Genomic DNA, 21910 nt, shown 5'->3' on the forward strand with positions numbered 1-21910 from the left:
TCCCTGATTCTGCATACCAGATCTTCTTCCTCTTTGCTGCCATTTAAAAAGTGTGTGTGAGACGAGAGAGAGAGAGAGAGAGAGAGAAACAGAGAGACCCAAAAATAAAAGAAAATCAATGCTTGCACAGTTATTTGGAGCTTTGCAGCTCCTGCTTCCTGGAGTCTATAACCCACTGTTTGACAAAAACAGGGCTCTCAGCTCAGTCACCTTTGGAAAAAAAGGAACCCATAAAGCTCTGATGAGAGAATGAGCAGCTGCTGTGGATTTGCATACTTCAACATAATCCTAAGAGTCCAATAAACCACCTCATCCCTCTTCTTTCCCTGCTATTTTAGTGATTTTTATGTGATGCTAATGGAGGCCATCCTCAAAGTAAGGAATGCACAGAACCAAGAAAACTGCTCCATGTTGAGCTTCATTTATAAAAAGCAGAGCCAAGAAAACATGCTACTTAGCTACAGAAAGCGCCCAGCAGCCTTCAAAAATAAGAGTTTAAACCTCAACCAATGACTCTGCTTTCATTTTTCCTCCACAGGACTATGGCAAAATGAAAACCCTTACTTGCCCCGAATGAACCCATAAAGAAGAAAGGAAGCCGTGACCAGCCAAGCAGTAGTAGCCTTTAGCCTGAAACAGCAGGCTACCATCCAAACTCTACAAACTTATGTCCAGTGATCAGGGCCTAGCTCAAATGCTATCTTCTCCATGAATGTGTCCACCATTCTCCAAACCTAATAGTATGTCTATTCCCTCAATTCTTGGCCTTTGCCTCTGTGAATTTTAAAATACCTGAAGTACTTGGAGAGCAGCAGGGCATATATATTTCTTCTAGTACATAGGTTCCAAGAAGCAAACCATCTACCCCAACACAGTTTAGTTTCTTCATTAACATGAGTCTACTGTTGCACTGTATTCATCAACATTGCTTTACTATTCCACAAGACTCTTGCCCAGGAAGATATAAATTGCAAATAGCTTTGCTGCTCATTCCAGCAACTCTTCAATAGAATGTGCAATGGACTGAACGTTTATCCCCACCTTCCCCCCATATTCAGATGTTGAAATCCTAACTCCAAAGTGATGGTAGAAGGAGGTGTGGTTTGGGGGAGGTGATTAGGTCATGAGGGCAGAGGCCTTATGACTGGAATTAGTGCCCTTATTAAAGAGATCACAGAGAACTACTTAGCCCTTTTCACCATGGTGATGACACAGCAAGAAGACCCCATCTATGAACCAAGAAGAGTGCCCTTACTAGACACCAAATCTGCTGGCACCTTAACCTCAAACTTCCCAGTCTCCAGAACTGTGAGAAATAAATTTTCATTGTTTACAAGCCACCCAGTTTGTGATATTTTGTTATAGCAGACCAAACAGACCAAGACAAAAAGCATGAACCTTGTACCCTGAGACTTTTTGAATTTCTTCCCTCCCAATCTGTTTTTCCACGCTCACCAATTTTAAACCATTACATCATAATCTTTACCTAATTTTAATCAATTCCCCCCTCTCACTAAGCCAGACTTTAAAGTCTCAATATCCTGGCATTGCCTTTCCCTTCCTAAAATGCTATCAGATTTTGTCAAGGTAGAGTTACCCCCTACAGTGCTAAACCCTAAACTCAGGTAGCTTTACCTTGGCAACAGGTTATTCTGGTGATATTTTGAAGAGCCAGTATTTGACATGCCCAAACAATAACTGTTAATTATAAAGTAATTAATTCATGGGGCTAAATGACAGGATTGGTTTGGATATGACATGCATAGTATAATTACAGAGTTCTTATTTGGGGTTTGACTTTGGAGCCATTGAAGGGGATTTGGCTTTGATTGTTTGTATATCCCTATTTTCATAATTATTCCTTCGTGGATTTTACTTTTTCATGCCTTTGACTGAACACATGAGAGCACATGTGACAGAACCTTCATACCCTGGAGCAGGTGCTATTTTAAAGCCAACAACATAGTGGAACAGTTGCATTTTTTTTTTTTTTTTGAGACAGAGTCTGGCTCTGTCGCCCAGGCTGGAGTGCAGTGGCACAATCTCGGCTCACTGCAAGCTCCGCCTCCCGGGTTCACTCCATTCTTCTGCCTCAGCCTCCGGAGTAGCTGGGACTACAGGCGCCCGCCACCACGCCCGGCTAATTTTTTGTATTTTTAGTAAAGACGGGGTTTCACCGTGTTAGCCAGGATGGTCTCGATCTCCTGACCTCATGATCTGCCCGCCTTGGCCTCCCAAAGTGCTTGGATTACAGGCGTGAGCCACTGCGCCTGGCCCAGTTGCATTCTTTAAAGTCCACTTGTTTTTGCTCCACTAAGCACAACTCCCTTGGAATTTGGTGAGCCACCTATGCTTACTTCTCTGAGGAGCTGCTGGACATGTCACTCACCATATAGGTAAAGAGACAAATGGAGAGAAAAGATTCATGAGAGCAGGTTGATCAATAATACATTGATTTACTCAGTGCCTCCTGATGAGAGTCAGAATTCATGAGAATTTCCTTTGGAACTTGCAATTTTCTCACTGAAAGAGACAATGAGTTGTACTGGGCATTTTCTACTGCGGTTGTTTTCAGCAATTTCTAGTGTACTTTTTCATGTGTGTGGAGGGGTTACACATTTAATGACTTCTAAATACTAAGCCAGGGATATTTCCCACTGAATCATGAAACTTGGGTCACAAAAAAAACTTGTTCATGCTCCTCATTTACAAATGAGAAAAATAAGCCTATGGGTAAATTACTTGTTCAAGGGCACAAAGCTAATTCCCTCATATTCTTTCAATATCAGTACATAGACTGTCAAATACACATCCTCATAGCTAGGGACTGAACTCAGATCAGATTCTCCACTGATTACCTGTGCTGTATTTTCCTAAAAAACACAATTTCCATTTGTGTCTTCTGGATATGTGAAAACAAAGCACATCTCTAGAAGAAACCAAGATCTTCTCAACCTATAGATGCTTATCCTAGTTATTTACTTCCTTGCTGAGTGCTTGAAAAACATGCACAGACACATACACAGAGACTGAATGGACCAGGGAAATGAGTTAGGTGAAAGGTTAAATTTCTTTGTATGAAAAAAATGAGACCAATGCTCAAGAATATTGGACATGTTCTAACTAATGCACTAGAGTGGGTGGTCGCTAAGTATTTGGTTTTCATTGCTAAGGTTTTATTCCTTATACAAAGGGAGTTAGAAATGAAGGCCAGGTATGAGAGGATGATGTTTACTCCTCTGAAATACTTTCACCTCTAGCTATAGCCACAAGGTGATTAATGATGTCTACTTCAGGCAGCACAGGCAAACCAGATAAATTTTTGTTAAGAAATCAAGAATACCAGCAATAAACCAGATTATGTGTGCATATACTTTTAGATAAATAAGAAAGCAGTTTAACATTTCCCATTTACTATTTGTAAAATAGCCCACTTAAATAAATGACCAAAGAAAGAAGGAATTCAAATACATAGAGCACTCTTATCTCTGACTTCTAATATTCCTTTTATTCTAACTAACGTCTTTTGTCCCCCTCACCATCACCCAAGGTTATTTGCACACTTTAAACCAGGTGTTTCCATTTATAGCTTGATATTGCATAGAATCTAGGTGATAACGGCCTTTCTGCTTTTTATTACTCTTACATACAACTTTGCTTCTGCACTTCTCCCACTCTAGCCCTTCTCTATGCTGAGGATCTAAAAAGCTTTCTGAAGGGTGAGCAACACTTTGAGCCTCCAGCTATTCCACCTTCTGTCTTTTAAAACACTCAATTTTACCATCTGGTTTCTTAAAGAGGCAATGCATTTTAACCACCATAAAAATGAAAACATAGAATTAAGGCTAAAACAGATTGCTTCATCATCACCACAATTTTTAACTAGTCTCAAATGACCTATTTGTGACCACTCAGGTCCTCATTATATTGTAATGTTAAGCAGTTTAATGAGTGAAAACACCACAAATTGCTCATATACTTTTAGCTAATCATATTCACTAGAGGATAGAATAAACTATAAAGGTATAATTTTTTTTTAAAAAAAGAAGCAATAATATTAAGCAGGAGGACAGAAATGTTTAAGAAGCCATGTTATCTACTTAAAAGAATGTTGATCAAACATCAGAAGACCACGTGCTTAGTGTCTGCTCTGCTGCTAGCAAGCTCTGAGAACTGTAAATTAACTATGTTCCTTCACTGACCCTATTTTATCTACTACAGCACTGTGCAACAGAACACTTCACAGTGACAGAAAAGTACTATATCCACACTGTTAATATGGTAGCCACAAGCCATATGTGGTTACTGAATGCTTGAATATGACTAATGAGAGTAGGAACCTGAATTTTATTTAATTTTTAATTTAAATAGTTGCAAGTAGCTAGTAGCTATCATATTTGACAGTACAGATCTAAGATCTATAAAATAAGGTGACTCTAGGCATAGCTTAATACCTTGACAGTTCTGGAAAATCTATTGTGATATCTAATTCCGTTTGGCAGGTACTAGAGGTTTGCTGACCCAAACCCCCATGCACAGCATTTCCCTTTCCAATCCCCTTTCTAGGATATGGAGGACATATGACACAGCTGTCAACCAACAGCAGAAGTCTACTGAGTTTGTTGGCCTGATAAAGACAGACACGTTTAGAAGGACCCATTTTGCCATTTGACATTCACTTTTTCCCTTTTCACTGGCTGAATACATATATGACAGCTGGAATAAGGAAATAAAGCACCATGAGACAAGTATAAAGAAGATGACTGGAGTAAGGAAGCCTTCCTAGGCTCATGAGACAAGAAATATGAAGATGAAATACAACCAGAATTGAAAAGTAAAAAGATTTAAGAACATTGTTCCTTGAAGATGCCATTGAGCCACTGCAATAACCACCCTACTTATTTAAGCTATTGTAGCTGTGTTTTGTTACTTGCAGTTGAAAGCCCAGGACCACCGGATATGGAATACCATGAGGTTTAAGACTAAAAGTTGAGAAGAAAAGTCATTTTAGATTAGTTGAATTGGAAAGCTAGCAAGTGCAGGATGGCAAGGTAAAATGAAAGATCACAAGAGCATTGATCCTTAATGATGTGGAGCTAGCTACTACACAAGGACTGAATTTACTACCATCACATTTTCTGTGATATGACAGTTAAACAAACTCTTATTTGATTAAGAGCCTGTAGTTGGGGTTACATGCAGTAAAAATTTTTGTTACTTCAAAGTCAAACATGCCTAAATGATTCTGTACTTAGTTTTAATCATTAATTCCATATTCATATAGGGAAGAAGCCTTAAATAGAAATTTTGACCGCCCAAGATACAGTTGTTATGTGAAACAATTAAAATAATTAAACTCCTACTTAAGTCGCTAGAGTTCCTTGCAGTGAATGGCTTCCTAACTGATGTTCTGTTTAAGTCTCTATTTTACATTCAAGGTTTGCTTATAGTATGACGTAGATGGGATTTTGACAGATAATGATGCACTGACAAACAATAGAGATCAAACTGTAGAAAAGAGTGATCAATATCAGTAAAAGGCAGTAGAAAAGCATGAAGAATGGTGCAATAGCAGTTAATATCCTTATGGATGTAGTCCAAAGTCACGAGAATGTGGAATTTACTGAGTCCAAGATGTGGCCCCAGAGATAAAAGGTGAAAAATTGACTTACGATAGTGGAGTCTGAATTCAAGAGAGATTACAGTAGACAATCAGTTACACACTTAGAGAGTTCAGGCAGCACCACTTGGGTGGAAATGGGGACTTGACATTCAGATCACAAATGGCATTTAAGTGGGTCTCAATGTTTACAGGGCTTTAAAACCATTTGAAGAAACACTTTAAAATGCGGGAAAGGGAGTGAATGTGTTTGTGACTACCGAAAAGGTGGAAAAAAAAGTAAAATTGGATTTTTATTCCTATTAAAGTCTATTCACATAACTGATTCCACAATTCTGGAAAGAAGTTCCTCCACAGATATCACTGAAAACATCAACTTGATTGTCTTTTGGTTATTTTCAGTTGGAAAGAGAATGAGTGTGTTTGTGATTCCAGCCAGGAAGTTGTTTAACAAAAAGTCCCAGGAAAAGCAGTGGGACTGCCATGTGCATTTCAGGGAGAGTCTGAAGATTGCTGAGCAGAGTAGGAATAGAATATAGTAGACTGCTGTTGATTTTGTTAGTCAGCAGACAATCAGAGCGCTGCCTGCCCATCATGGGACAACAGGGCATCCAAGCCATGTGGGGAAAATGAGATCTCCCTTCCAGTTTGAAGGTCTCTCCTTATAATGTAGATGGGGAGGGGGGTGAGAGGACTGGTAGCTGTCTCCTATTGCCACATGGAAAAGGCATCTTCCTGTGTGAGGAAAGAGCCAAGACTCAGAGAACCAGAGAAAGCAGGGCTGGGAAAAAGAAAGAAAATACTATATGTGAAACTAAGTGTCACCAAATAATTTCCCAGTAACATGCCATAAATTCCCTTACTTAAAAGCCACTTCGAATTGTTTTTCTGACACCTTCAATCAAAAGTGACCCCACTCATATACCATGTCTACAGTACTCATTTCAGAATATACGGTTATTCTAAGAAGCCCATGACATAAGTATAATGTTAAGAAAGCAGGATATTAACCATGAGTATAATATGAGCTCATGTCTTCTTAAAATATGAATAGAAAAAGTACAGAGGGCTGGCGTGGTTGCTCACACCTATAATCCCAGCACTTTGGGAGGCCAAGGCGGGTGGATTACTTGAGGTCAGAAGTTTGAGACCAGTCTGGGCAACACGGTGAAACCCTGTCTCTATTGAAAATACAAAAATTATCCAGGCACGGTGGTGCATGCCTGTAATCCCAGCTACTCAGGAGGCTGAGGCAGGAGAATCACTTGAACCTGAGAGACAGAAGTTGCAGTGAGCTGAGATTGTACCACTGCACTCCAGTCTGGGCAACAGAGTGAGACTCTTTTTTAAAAAAAAAAAAAAAAGGAAAAAAAAAGTATAGAGGGCTAATATTCCCTGCTGGTATAAAACAGATTCATACCTGAGACAAGCAAAGAGTATAGGATTAATTTTTTAATGTGAAAACTCAGGAGCCAAGTTAATGTTCTTTTCTAGACGTAAGTAAATCCTGCACGGCAACGGGCCACAAAGCAGGGAGATCTCTTAGGTTGGTAAATGTAGGGATTTAAGAATTCTTGGTGATGATGGGATATAAGAGATCCCTAGTTTCACAACCAAGTTTGTCAGATAGGTAAATTCAGGTCAGAGAGGTTTTAAGTGTTTGAACCAAGACTAGAAAAAGTACCTACTTAAGTACAGTCTCCTTTTTCCAGTCTACCTTAGCATTGGGCTAAGCCTTTTTACTCATTAAGTGAAAGGCTGGGAGGGCACATTCCAGAGATGGGAAGCAACAGAAAAGTCAGAAAGTACAAGGAGTTGTGCTGGGCTAGAGAGGAGAGTTTGGGTAATGAGGATATTTGTTGTTTCAGTAACTAAACTCTCCTGGATAAGCTCTAAGAATGTCTGCCTAATCCTGATTTCTATTTTCTAGTCCTTACAGTCAGAATATGTTCTAGGGGTTATGCTTCCTACATACGGGCAAAAGGTTAACAGCCTTTCAGAGATTCTCAAGAAGTGACTCATTCAGAGTCCTCTAGACAGCATTTAATTCTTTAACTATAGATGGGGTTTGACCGGGTGGGAGTGTCATTGGTCTTACAGCTCCAATTAATTATTTTACCTTCCTCTTTTCCACTCACTTTACATTTTCCCTCCTGAGTTTTAATGATGCAAACAGCACTGAGGCACCATCATCTTCCATACCTAAACTGAAATGGATTCACATAATAGTTTTACAGCACTGAGCATTCAAGTCACATTTGCTGTCTGGTTTGCCTAGCTCTGCTTAATGGCCAACAGAAAATACTCTCAGAGACCTTTATAGGAAAGCAGAGGACTTCTTAACATAATAATAGCATCTTAACAATTCGCTGGAATGCATTATGGGCTTAGCTGGTTTTAAGATTCTGGCCCTTTCCAAGCTTCTGATGTACTTTTTTTCTTCTCACTCCCCAAAATGAACCTCATTCTCTTAATTTATCAGTCACTCAAAATCTGAGTGACTTGAAAATTGAAGACCATCCACTTGGATAAATTATTTGGTGTAATAATGCCTAACGATACAACCTAAATAATCATAGCAAACCCTGCCCTCAAGATCCCAGTCCCATATCCTATTACCCCATAAGGCTATTGAATCAGCCTAACTTACAGAATAACTGGTTCTTAGGTACTGCCAATGAACTGCAGTGTTGACAGTAAAATTACATGTACTATTTATCAGCTTAAAGATCTATTGTAGTCCTAGAGGACAATCACAGAGATGGCTGCTGCTTAAATGCAGATGGCTGGAACTCCAGTTACAATGACTGACCTGAAGTACAGTAGCTAGTGAGGGAGCTCAGGTACTAATGACATCCTTAAAAGAATGCATCTGAAATTTTCAACAGATACATGCTCATGATGAATACTTTGAATGACAAAAAAAGCTTAAAGTGGCTGTCTGCACTTACTGAAAAGGAAGTGGGAAAAATATTTCTTTCACTTAGTTTTAGGGGAAGTGATGTATAACAGTTGCTGGGGTTGGGGAAGGGATGTAGTTAATTATACACAGCACTAGTTTCCTGATTGAATAGGATATCCCAGCTATCACAAGGTTGCCAATGAGATTAGAGCTTCATAGACACAGAGATGGCCCTTGCAGTGGAAATCATTACATTAGGTGTCAGGTGATGGAAATCACAAGCAAGGAATGCAAACCCCCATTGGCAGACCCAGATTAGAGTCAGCCATGGAGTTAAATTATTACGTGAAATGCCATTCTGCTATTAAAACACAAAGAGACAAAGAGACAAGCCAAACTGCCCTTTAAACATGTAAACACCAAGCTTCCACTGAGGGAATTTATTTGTCCTTTACATGTAGGCAATACTCAGTAGCTATTGCCTCTAATGATCCTCCAGGGCTAGAGAAAAAGATGGAAGATGTCATAGTCAGCTCAGGTTGCCATAACAGATACCAAAGACTGGGTTGCCTAAACAACAGAAACGTATGTTCACACAGTTCTGGAGGCTGCAAAGTCCAAGAAAAAGTCCAGCAAGGTTTTGTTTCTGGTGAGGCCTCTCTTCCTGACTTGCAGATGTGGTCATTTGTCTTCTTGTGGCCTTTTCTTGGTGTGTATGTACGTATGGGAAGAGAAAGAGATCTCTCCTTGTAAGGCCACCAATTCTATCAGATTAGAAGCCTACCTTTATGACTTCATTTAACTTTAATTACCTCCTAAAAGCTTTATCTCCAAATACAGTCGTATTGGGGGTTAGAGCTTCAAAATATAAATTTTGCAGGAAAATACAATTCAGTCTGTAACAGAGGTAATGCCCTTTTGGGTTGGGAGTGAGTATGATTATTTTGTTCCAGTGAGACTTGTTTTCTCTACGTGGAAATAATCCACAGAATATAATAAGCAAAAGGGGTATAATCAGGGTCCTGCAGTGATCTATTAAACACACTGCCCATGTAGAACATAAGTAAGTGCACAGTAGTGTTTAATAGCAAATTTTTCAAAGAGCCAAATAAATCTTGGCAATATTAGTTCAGGTACATCAAACTGTGGATGTCTGGATCCTCCTCCCCAAATATCTGAGCCCTCCCATTTTCTAACTCTTCTCTCTCACAATCCCTGGCTGCTAATAGGGAAGGTGTGATGACAATTGGTTTGGGCCTTTTCCTTCTTCCTATCTGTGGACCCCTTGACATTCCCCACCGTCAGTCCTTTGTGACCCATATGATTTTATTTTCTGAAAACCCAAAGCTAGAGATTCCTAGGAAGAGCCAATTAGGGGATTTCTCTTTGTTAGAAGCTAGACTAGCAGCCCTGTGACTCACAGGCAGAGATTTGGGACAGGAATTCAGCATTTGAAATTACATACAATCATAAGGTATACCTCAGGTGAGTCATCCTTAATGTAAATTTTAAAAGTCATTCAAAAGTTATTTGCTCAAAGAACCTTGGCATAAGGCAGTTGAAAAAAACAAATGATAGGCACTGTTCATTATCAGCTGCTATTATGGCTGTTGTCACTATATTCAATCTTTCTTCCTTTTACTACCAACGGCCCATTTCCTCTTAAGGGAAAATAAAAGGCAAGTCAGTCTTCACCTTGAAAAATTTCGCTTAAATTCTTGTGAAACATATTAATTCAACAGAGCTTCTAAGACTGGTGAGTGCCAATTAAACATGGCCCCCAAATGCATTCACAGGTCTGGCTAAGTAACCCAGGCTCTCTGGAGTCTTTATTCTACTATCCCTTGCAGCCATAGCATGCTAGACACTGATACATAAACTAAACAAGATCTTTTATGAGTCAGCCTTTGCATGCACTCTATCATCTACATAGAGACCCCTATGCTTCAGCAAACTCCTGATCAATCACTATTCATTTAAAAATGTTTAATTTTTTTTTTTATTTTACTTTAAGTTCTGGGATACATGTGCAGAATGTGCAGCTTTGTTACATAGGTATACATGTGCCATAGTGGTTTGCTGCACCTATCAGTCCTTCATCTAGGTTTTAAGCCCTGCATGCATTAGGTATAAAAAGTTTTAATATTTTAAACAGACTTTATTATTTTAGAAAGTTTTAGATTTTCTAAAACTAAAACTAATATACCACAGGATCAGTAGTGATGACCTCTCTCTTTCATTTCTGGTATTAGTAATTTGTGGCTTTGTTTTATTTGTTAGCCTTGCTAGAAGTTTGTCGATTTTACAGAGCTTTCCAAAGAACCAGATTTTGGTTTTGTTGATTTTCTCATTCTCTATTGTTTTCCTATTTTTAATTTCAGTGATTTCCCCTTTAATTCATATTGTCTCTTTTACTTATGTTTGCCTTAGGATTAAATTGTTCTTCTTTCTCTAGTTTCCTAAAGTATAAGCTAAACTAATTGATTTGAGATCTTTCTTCTTTTCTAGTATACGTATTTAACGCTATAAATTTTCCTCTAAGCATTGCTTTTGCTACATCCCTACAGATTTTGGTAAGTTGTATTTTCACTTTTGCTTAGTTTAAAATACTTTCTAATTTATCTGTACACTCTGTTGTTGACCCAGCTGTTACTTAAAAATGTGCTGTTTAATCACCAAATGTTTTGGGAGTTTACAATCATCTTTGTTATTTTAATTTTAATTTCATTGGGGTCTGAGAATATACTTTACATTATATATATATATATATATATATTTTTTTTTTTTTTTTTTTTTTTTTTTTTGAGACAGAGTCTCACTCTGTCACCCAGGTTGGAGTGCAGTGGTGCGATCTTGGCTCACTGCAAGCTCCGCCTCCCGGGTTCACGCTGTTCTCCTGCTTCAGCCTCCCAAGTAGCTGGGACTACAGGTGCCCGCCACCATGCCTGGCTAATTTTTTGTATTTTTTTTCAGTAGAGACGGGGTTTCACCATGTTAGCCAGGATGGTCTCGATCTCCTGACCTCTTGATCCACCTGTCTTGGCCTCCCAAAGTGCTGGGATTACAGGCATGATATATATTCTTTTAAATTTGTTTAGGTGTTTCATATGGACCAGAACCTGTTCTATAATGATGAATGTTCCATGTGAGCTTGAGAATATGTATGCTACTGTTGTCAAAGTAATCTATAAATGTCAATTAGATCAAGTTGATTTATGGTGCTGTTCAAGTCAACCACACATTACTGATTTTCTGCCTGCTTGATCTATTAATTAAAGAGGTGTGTTAAAACCTCCAAGTATAAATAGTGGAGGTCTATTCTTCTTGCAGTTCTATCAGCTTTTGTCTTACACATTTCAACAAACTATTGTTAGATACACACAGATTAAGGATTGTTATGTCTTACTGGTGAATTGACCCCTTTTATCATTATGCAATGCCTACTTTTATCCCTGAAAAAATTCCATGTTCTGAAGTTTGCTCTGTCTGAAAATGATATAGTTAACTCCATGTTTCTTTTGATTTATCTTCCTCCATCTCTTTCCTTATGAAGTACTTAAATCTTTAGACGACATATATTTGGGGCCTTAGTTTTTCATCTACTTTGGCAGTCTTTTTTAATCTACATATTCATACAATTCACATTCAAAGTGATTATTGACATAGATGGATTAATAACTACTATGTTGGTAACCATTTTCTATTTATTGTTCTTTATCTTTCTTTTTTCTTTTTGAGATAGAGTCTCACTCTGTTGCCCAGGCTAGAGTGCAGTGGCGTGATCTCAGCTTGTTTCACTGCAATTTCTGCCTCCTGGGCTCAAGCAATCCTCCCACCTCAGCCTCCCTAGTAGCTGGGATTACAGGCGTCTGCCACCATACCTGGGTAATTTTTATATTTTTAGTAGAGACAGGGTTTTGCAATGTTGGCCAGGCTGGTCTCGAACTCCTGACCTCAAGTGATCCACCTGCCTCGGCCTCCCAAAATGCTGAGATTACAGTGTGAGCCACTGTGCCCAGTCTCTTTTCTCTTCCCCTCCATTTCTGCCATCTCTGGTTTTAACTGAGCATTTCATACGATCTCCTTTCATCCCCTCTCCTAGCATATTAATAATACTTTTACCAAAGTAAGACAAAAAACTTCAGGAGCTCCTAATACAAGTTGAGTCTCTCTCAATCATTTTATTGTAACAGGAGGCATGATAACACACATAGCAGTTAAGAGCAACTGCTCTATTGTTCCAATGCCTGTGGTTTAAATCCAAAAGCCTCACTGGATGAACAATAACCCAACCTCTTTAAGGCTCAGCATCTTATCTCACATTTATACACTGAGAACTAGACTTTACCTTACCAGGTAGCTGTAAGAATTTAACGTATTTGCACTTTGGCTGGCACATATTAAGCACTCAACAAATGCTAATTGTTATTGTTGTTGGTGCCATTACTTCACAGAACCAAAATCTGGTGACAAAGTTGACAATGTCAAAAAGAATCCAAGCATCCTAGATTTGGAGGCTCCCTGGGATCACAGGATCGCTCTAGGTACAAAACAGTCTATTAAATTAATTCTTAGGACTTCTCTCCCCCTAAAGTTCTTGGCTAGCCAGGCCACTTTTCTGAGTGACTTCAAACCCTCAAAGATCCAGACTACTCCATAAACGGGTTCAGGACCTAGATAAGGACTTCTGTTTAACAGAAGCTTGCTTACCTTCCACTCTTCCTCTTCCTTAAAATCACTGACAATGATCTCCAACAGATTGTTACAAAGGAATGAATGATCTCAGACTTACGATACAAGAAAATGCTAATAATTTGGAGGTATAAGAGTGCTAATAATTGCTAATACCCTATGGTTCTGCTCTGTTGAAATGCAGCCTGTTCAGCAGATTAGTATAAGAGCACAGAAGACTGACAACAGGCCATTGCCAAATCCTTCCCTGCAACCCAAAATTTCCCAAGTCCAAGATGCTAAATGGCAGAAATAGGCATTAATCAAACTGGTATTCAATACTGCAGTGAAATGAAGATTTAGTGTATGAGAATAGTTTTTATTTTTATGTAAGCACTTCTCTAAGAGCCTGAAGCCCTCTTCTGCTGTAGCAGGAGACAGTGTGACATACAGGAGTCCTAATAATTCCTAATACCCTATGGTTCTGCTCTGTTGAAATGCATTCTGTTCAGTAGGTTAATGCTGAAAGTACTAAAATCTGACACTAGATCTTGCCTTGAAATTAGACAAAAATAAAAAGAAACCATTATTCACCACAGTATAAATATTTTACTTAAATGTTATTTTTCTAATGCTAATGATCTAATAATTTACTTTTTCTTCCTGGATAGCAAAAAAGAAAAATCCTTCTTCTTACAGTTGTTTCAAATGCTTATATAGAACATTATAACTGCACTTTAAAATCTTTACATTTAGAAATTGGGTACTATATTATCAGTCCAGGAGGCACTGCTGTGAAAGATAATTTACTATTCTAAAATATCTATTTAAAATAAAGATAATTAAAGAAAACATAAGAGAAAAAAATTAATATTTTTTAAAGTTGCATTAATTCATGTAAAAAATTCACTAACAAATATACTGGGGCAATCTTAAAGGCAAACCCTTTCCAAACTCTGTAAAAGCTAAGTTTATCTTAATATTATCAGAATAGTTTAAGACTCAGTTTCAGAATACACTAAAGCTAAATAGTTGGTCCTCTGTATTCCATGGGTTCTGTATCTGTGGATTCAACTAAGGATCAAAAATATTCAGAAAAAAAATCCCAAAAAGTTTCAAAAAGCAAAACTTTGAATCTTCAGGAATGAATTGATATGTAGTCACTGTATTATATTAGGTATTCTAAGTAATCTAGAGATTATTTAAAGTACACAGGAGGACATAGGTAGATTATATGCAAATATTATGCCATTTTACATATGGGATTCAAGCATCCAAGGATTTTGGTATCTGTGGGGATTCCTGGAACCAATCCCCCAGAGATACCAAAGAACAATTGTATTTATGGTGGTTTTTCTAAATATTAATAACAAAAAAGTTTGCTCATTACCTTGACACATGTTAAAAAAAAGAAAGACTATAACAGGAATTTATTAATTGGTTGGTTGGTTGAAGTTAATGATTTCTCAAGTCCTAAGATACTGTACTCTGGAACACCTTCTCTTCTTCTTAAATCCAGATATGCAAAAGCATGGTCATTTGAGAGTCTTTCATGAAAGCTCCAATGAGGCAGAATGAATAGCAATGTGTGCTGAGGGTCTTATTTCTCTCAATCACTTTTAAGTATGGAAGACATGCTGACACGCCCCCATCTGTCACTTTCAAAATTACAATCTGTATTGTAATGATTGTAAAGTGAGGAATGGCATGTGAAATGTTTGCCCTAATAAGAGCAGCTTATGGGGGAAAGATGGCCGAATAGGAACAGCTCCAGTCGGCAGCTCCCAGCAAGACCAACGCAGAAGGCGGGTGATTTCTGCATTTCCAACTGAGGTACCCTGTTAATCTCACTGGGACTGGTTAGGCAGTGGGTGCAGCCTACAGAGGGCGAGCAGAAGCAGGGTGGGACATCACCTCACCCAGGAAGTGCAAGGAGCTGGGGGGCCTCCCTTTCCCAACCAAAGGAAGCCATGAGGGACTTTGCTATCCAGCCTAGACACTACACTTTTCCCAGGGTTTCTGCAATCCAGAGATCAGGAGATTCCCTCTGTGCTTATACCACCAGGCCCCTGGGTTTCAAGCAAAAAACCGGGCGACTGTTAGGGCAGACACTGAGCTAGCTGCAGGAGGTTCCCCCTCACCAGTGGTGCCTGGAACCTGAGCGAGACAGAACCATTCATTCCCCTGAAAAGTTCCCTCCCCACTCAGCAGGTCCCACTCCCATGAAGCCCAGTAAGCTAAGAACCACTGGCTTGAAATTCTCACAGCCAGCACAGCAGTCTGAAGTCGACCTGAGACAATCGAGCTTGGCGTGGGGAGGGGCTTCCACCATTAATGAGGCTTGAGTAGGTGGTTTTCCCTTCAGTGGTAAGGACTGGGTGGAACTCAACACAGCATGGTAAAGTGGCTGTGGTAAGACTGCCTCTCTAGATTCCTCTTCACTGGGCAGGGCATCTGTGAAAGAATGGCAGCAGCCCCAGTCAGCGGCTTATAGATAAAACTCCCATCTCCCAGGGACAGAGCACCTGGGGGAAGGGGCAGCTGTGGGCACAGCTTCAGCTGACTTAAACATCTCTGCCTGCCAGCTCTGAAGAGAGCAGTGGATCCTGACAAGGAGGGTTCTCTCAGCATAGCACTTGAGCTCTGCTAAGGAACAGACTGTCTCCTCAAGTAGGTCCCTGACCCCTGTGCCTCCTGACTGGGAGAGACTTCCTAAGAGGGGTTAACAGACACCTCATACAGGAGAGGTCTGGCTGGCAACAGGCCGGCACCCTTCTGGGATGAAGCTTCCAGAGGAAGGAGCAGGCAGCAATCTTTGCTATTCTGTAGCCCCCGCTGGTAATACCCAGGCAAGTAGGGTCTGGAGTGGACCTCCAACAAATTGCAGCACACCTGCAGAAGAGGGGCCTGTTAGAGGAAAAACTAACAAAGAGAAAGCAATAACATCCACATCAACAAAAAGGACCCCCCCGCCACAAAACCCCTTCCAAAGTAAATCCACAAAGATGAGGAAAAAACAGCACAAATTATTGATAATTCCAAAAACCAGAATGCCTCATCTCCACATGATCACAACTCTTCTCCAGCAAGGGCACAAAACTGGATAGAGAAAGAGTTTGATGAATTGACAGAAGTAGGCTTCAGAGGGCGGGTAATAACAAACTCCTCTGAGCTAAAGGAGTGTGTTCTAACCCAATGCAAGGAAGCAAAGAACACTGAAAAAAGTTACAGGAACTGCTAGCTAGAATAATCAGTTTAGAGAAGAACAAAAATGACCTGATGGAGCTGAAAAACACAGCACAGGAACTTTGTGAAGCATACACAAGTATCAACAGCCGAATCGATCAAGTGGAAGAAAGGATATCAGAGATTGATGATCGACTTACTGAAATAAGGTGTGAGGACAGGATTAGAGAAAAAAGGATGAAAGGGAATGAACAAAGCCTCCAAGAAATATGGGACTATGTGAAAAGACCAAACCTACGATTGATTGGGGTACCTGAAAGTGATGGGGAGAATGGAACCAAGTTGGAAAACACACTTCAGGATATTATCACGGAAAACTTCCCCAACCTAGCAAGACAGGCCAACGTTCAAATTCAGGAAATACAGAGAACACCACTAAGATATTCCTCAAGAAGAGCAACCCCAAGACACATAATCATCATATTCTCCAAGGTTGAAATGAAGGAAAAAATGTTAAGGTCAGCCAGGGAAAAAAGTCAGGTTACCTACAAAGGGAAGCCCATCACACTAACAGTGGATCTCTCTGCAAAAAACCTACAACCCAGAAGAGAGTGAGGGCCAATATTCAACATACTTAAATAAAAGAATTTTCAACCCAGAATTTCATATCCAGACAAACTAAGGTTCACCAGTGAGGGAGAAATAAAAACCCTTACAGGCAAGCAAATGCTGAGGGATTTTGTCACCAACAGGCCTGCCTTACAAGAGCTCCTGAAGGAAGCACTAAACATGGAAAGGAAAAACCGGTACCAGACACTGCAAAAACACACCAAAATATAAAGACCAATGACACTATGAAAAAACTCCATCAACTAATGTGCAAAATAACCAGCTAGCAGCATGATGACAAGATCAAATTCACACACAAAAATATCAACCTTAAATGTAAATGGACAAAATGCCCCAATTAAAAGACACAGACTGGCAAACTGGATAAAGAATAAAGACCCATTGGTATGCTGTAATCAGAAGACCTATCTTATGTGCAAAGGCACACATAGGTTCAAAATAAAGGGATGGAGGAATATTTACCAAGCAAATGGAAAGCAAAAAAAGCAGGGGTTGCCATCCTAGTCTCTGATAAAACAGACTTTGAACCAACAAAGATCAAAAAAGACAAAGAAGGGAATTACATAATGGTAAAGGGATTGATGAAACAAGAAGAGCTAACTATCCTAAATATACATGCACCCAATACAGGAGCACCCAGATTCATAAAACAAGTTCTTAGAGACCTACAAAGACACTTATAATCCCACACAATAATAGTGGGAGACTTTAACACCCCACTGTCAATATTAGACAGCTCAACAAGACAGAAAATTAACACGGATATTCAGGACTTGAAGTCAACTCTGGACCAAGCAGACTTAATAGACATCTACAGAACTCTCCACCCCAAATCAACAGAATATACATTCTTCTCAGCACCACATCACACTTATTCTAAAATCGACCACATAATTGGAAGTAAAACACTCCACAACAAATGCAAAAGAACAGAAATCATAACAGCTTCTCAGACCACAGTGCAATCAAATTAGAACTCAGGATTAAGAAACTCACTCAAAACCACACAACTACATGGAAACTGAACAATCTGCTCCTGAATGACTACTAGGTAGATAATGAAATGAAGGCAGAAATATCAAAGTTCTTTGAAACCAATAAGAACAAAGACACAACGTACCAGAATCTCTGGGACACAGCTACTAAGCAGTATTAAGAGAGAAATTTATAGCACTAAATACCCACAGCAGAAAGTGGGAAAGATCTAAAAGTGACACCCTAACATCACAATTAAAAGACCCAGAGAAGCAAGAGCAAGCAAATACAAAATCTAGCAGAAGACAGGAAATAACCAATGTCAGAGCAGAACTGAAGGAGATAGAGACACATAAAACCTTTCAAAAAATCAGTGAATCCAGGAGCTCATTTTTGGAAAGATTAACAAAATAGATAGAACACTAGCCAGACTAATAAAGAAGAAAAGAGAGAAGAATCAAATAGACACAATAAAAAACGATAAAGGGGGTATCATCACTGATGCCACAGAAATACAAACTACCATCAGAGAATACTATAAACACCTCTATGCAAATAAACTAGAAAGTCTAGATGAAATGGATGAATTCCTGGACACATACACCCGCCCCAAGACTAAACCAGGAAGAAGTCAAATCCCTGAATAGACCAAAAACAAGTTCTGAAATTGAGGCAGTAATTAATAGCCTACCAACCAAAAAAAGCCCAGGACCAGACAGATTCACAGCCGAATTCTACCAGACATACAAAGAGGAGCTGGTACCATTCCTTCTGAAACCATTCCAAACAATAGAAAAAGAGGGACTCCTCCCTAACTCATTTTATGAGGCCAGCATCAACCTGATACCAAAACCTGGCAGAGACACAACAAAAAAAGAAAATTTCAGGCTAATATCCCTGATGAATATCAATGCAAAAATCCTCAACAATACTGGCAAACTGAATCCAGCAGCTAATCAAAAAGCTTATCCACCATGATCACATCAGCTTCACCCTGGGATGCAAGGCTAGTTCAATATACCCAAAACAATAAATGTACTCCATCACATAAACAGAACCAATGACAAAAACCACATGAATATCTCAATGGATGCAGAAAAGGCCTTCGATAAAATCCAATACCCCTTCATGCTAAAAACTCTTAATAAAGTAGGTATTGATGCAACATATCTCAAAATAATAAGAGCTATTTATGACAAACCCACAGCCAATATCATACTGAATGAGCAAAAGCTGGAAGCATTCCCTTTGAAACTGGCACAAGACAAGGATGCCCTCTCTCACCACTTCTATTCAACATAGTATTGGAAGTTCTGGCCAGAGCCATCAGGCAAGAGAAAGAAATAAAGGGTATTCAAATAGGAAGAGAGGAAGTCAAATTGTCTCTGTTTGCAGATGACATGATTGTATATCTAGAAAACCCCATCGTCTCAGCCCAAAATCTCCTTAAGCTAATAAACAACTTCAGCAAATTCTCAGGATACGAAATGAATGTGCAAAAATCACAAGCATTCCTAACACCAATAATAGACAAGCAGAGAGCCAAATCATGAGTGAACTCCCATTCACAATTGCTACAAAGATAATAAAACACCTAGGAATACAACTTACAAGGGACATGAAGAACCTCTTCAAGGAGAACTACAAACCGCTGTTCAAGGAAATCAGAGAGGACACAAATAAATGGAAAAAAATTCCACACTCATGGATAGATGAATCAAAATCATGAAAATGGCCATACCACCCAAAGTAATTTATAAATTCAATGCTATTTCCATCAAGCTACCATTTACTTTCTTCACAGAACTACAAAAAACTACTGTAAATTTCATATGGAACCAAAAAGCAGCCCACATAACCAAGAGAATCCTAAGCAAAAAGAACAAAGCTGGAGGCACCATGCTACCTGGCTTCAAACTAGTCTACAAGGCTACAGTAACCCAAACAGCATGGTACTGGTACCAAAACAGATACGTAGACCAATAGAACAGAACAGAGGCCTCAGAAATAACTCCACACATATACAACTATCTGATCTGGAGAAATCTGACAAAAACAAGCAATGGGGAAAGCATTCCCTATTTAATAAATGGTGCTGGGAAAACTGGCTAGTGATATGCAGAAAACAGAAAGTGAATCCCTTCCTTCCACCTTATGCAAAAATTAACTCAAGATGAATTAAAGACTTAAATGTAAAACTCAAAAACCATAAAAACTCTAGAAGAAAACCTAGGCAATACCACCCAGGACATAGGGATGGGCAAAGACTTCATGAATAAAACACCAAAAGCAACTGCAACAAAAGCCAGAATTGACAAATGGGATCTAATTAAACTAAAGAACTTCTGCTCAGCAAAAGAAACTATCATCAGAGTGAACAGGCAACCCACAGAATGGGAAAAAATTTTTGCAGTCTATCCATCTGACAAAGGGCTAATATCCAGAATCTACAAGGAACTTAAACACATTTACAAGAAAAAAGCAAACAACCCCATCAAAAATTAGGTGAAGAATATGAACAGACAATTCTCAAAAGAAGACATTTATGCAGCCAACAGACATATGAAAAAAAGTTCATCATCACTGGTCATTAGAGAAATGCAAGTCAAAACCATAATGAGATACCATCTCACACCAATTAGAATGGCAATCTTTAAAAAGTCTGTAAACAACAGATGCTGGCAAGGATGTGCAGAAATATGAACTCTTTTACACTGTAGGTGGGAGTGTAAATTAGTTCAACCATTGTGGAAGACAGTGTGGTGATTCCTCATGGATCTAGAACCAGAAATACCATTTGGCCTGGCAATCCCATTACTGGGTATAGACCCAAAGGATTATAAATCATTCTACTATAAAGACACACACATACATATGTTTATTGCAGCACTATTTCCAACAGCAAAGACTTGGAACCAACCCAAATGCCCATCAATGACCGAATGAATAAAGAAAATGTTGCACATATAGCCATGGAATACTATGCAGCCATAAAAAAGAATGAGTTCATGTCCTTTGCAGGGACATGGATAAAGCTGGAAACCATCATCCTCAGCAAACTAACACAGGAACAGAAAACAAACACCGCATGTTCTCACTCATAATTGGCAGTTGAACAATGAGAACACATGGACACAGGAAGAAGAACATCAGACACAGGGGCCTCTCAGGGAGTGAGGGGAAAGGGAGGGAGAGCATTAAGACAAATACCTAATGCATGTGGGGCTTAAAACCTAGATGATGTGTTGATAGGTAGAGCTAACCACCATGGCACATGTATACCTATGTGACGAACCTGCACATTCAGCACATGTATCCCAGAACTTAAAGTAAAGTTTACAAAGTAAGAGCAGCTTATGTTAACAATGAATTAAAAAAATAGATAAAGAAAACAGTTCCTTAAAGAAGCAGTGCCTCAATAGCAAAGACATGGGATCAGCCTAAACACTTGTTATTATCAATGGTGGGCTGCATAAAGAAAATGTAGTACATATATACCATAGAATACTATGTAACCATAAAAAAGAATGAAATGATGTCCCTTGCAGCAATATGGATGGAGCTGGAAGCTATTATCCTAAGCAAATTAACATGGGAACAGAAAAACCAATACTGCATATTTTCACTTTTAAGTGGGAGTTAAATATTGAATACCAGTGGACACAAAGAAGAGAACAATAGACACCAGGGCCTACTTGAGGGTAGAGGGAGGAAGGAGGGTGAGGATCAAAAAACTACCTATTGATTACTATGCTAATTACCTGGATGATTAAGTAATCTGTACACAAAACCTCCACAACACTCAATTTACCCATGTAACAAACCTGCACATATACCTCCTGAACCTAAAAGTTGGAAAGAGAAAATAAAATATCAAGAAGAAATGTTAAAAAATAAAATATAAAATAGTATTACACTCTGAAAAA

General features: G+C 39.1%; 1 protein-coding gene across 1 annotated transcript in view, besides 1 other annotated feature; it reads right to left on the reverse strand.

Annotated features, from left to right (window-relative positions):
* USP26 (ubiquitin specific peptidase 26) overlaps positions 1 to 21910 on the reverse strand; it is a 73942-nt gene that overhangs the window by 23402 nt on the left and 28630 nt on the right. The gene's annotated exons all lie outside the window — the stretch shown is intronic.
* Positions 8186 to 8687: an enhancer, noted in NCBI's record as "NANOG hESC enhancer chrX:132188783-132189284 (GRCh37/hg19 assembly coordinates)". NCBI's record gives its function as "activates a minimal SCP1, AML or CMV promoter by ChIP-STARR-seq in primed H9 embryonic stem cells {active_cell/tissue: H9 hESC(primed)}" and the evidence as "EXISTENCE:reporter gene assay evidence [ECO:0000049][PMID:30033119]".

Source organism: Homo sapiens, chromosome X (genome assembly GCF_000001405.40).
Source record: "Homo sapiens chromosome X, GRCh38.p14 Primary Assembly".
Classification (NCBI taxonomy): domain Eukaryota; kingdom Metazoa; phylum Chordata; class Mammalia; order Primates; family Hominidae; genus Homo; species Homo sapiens.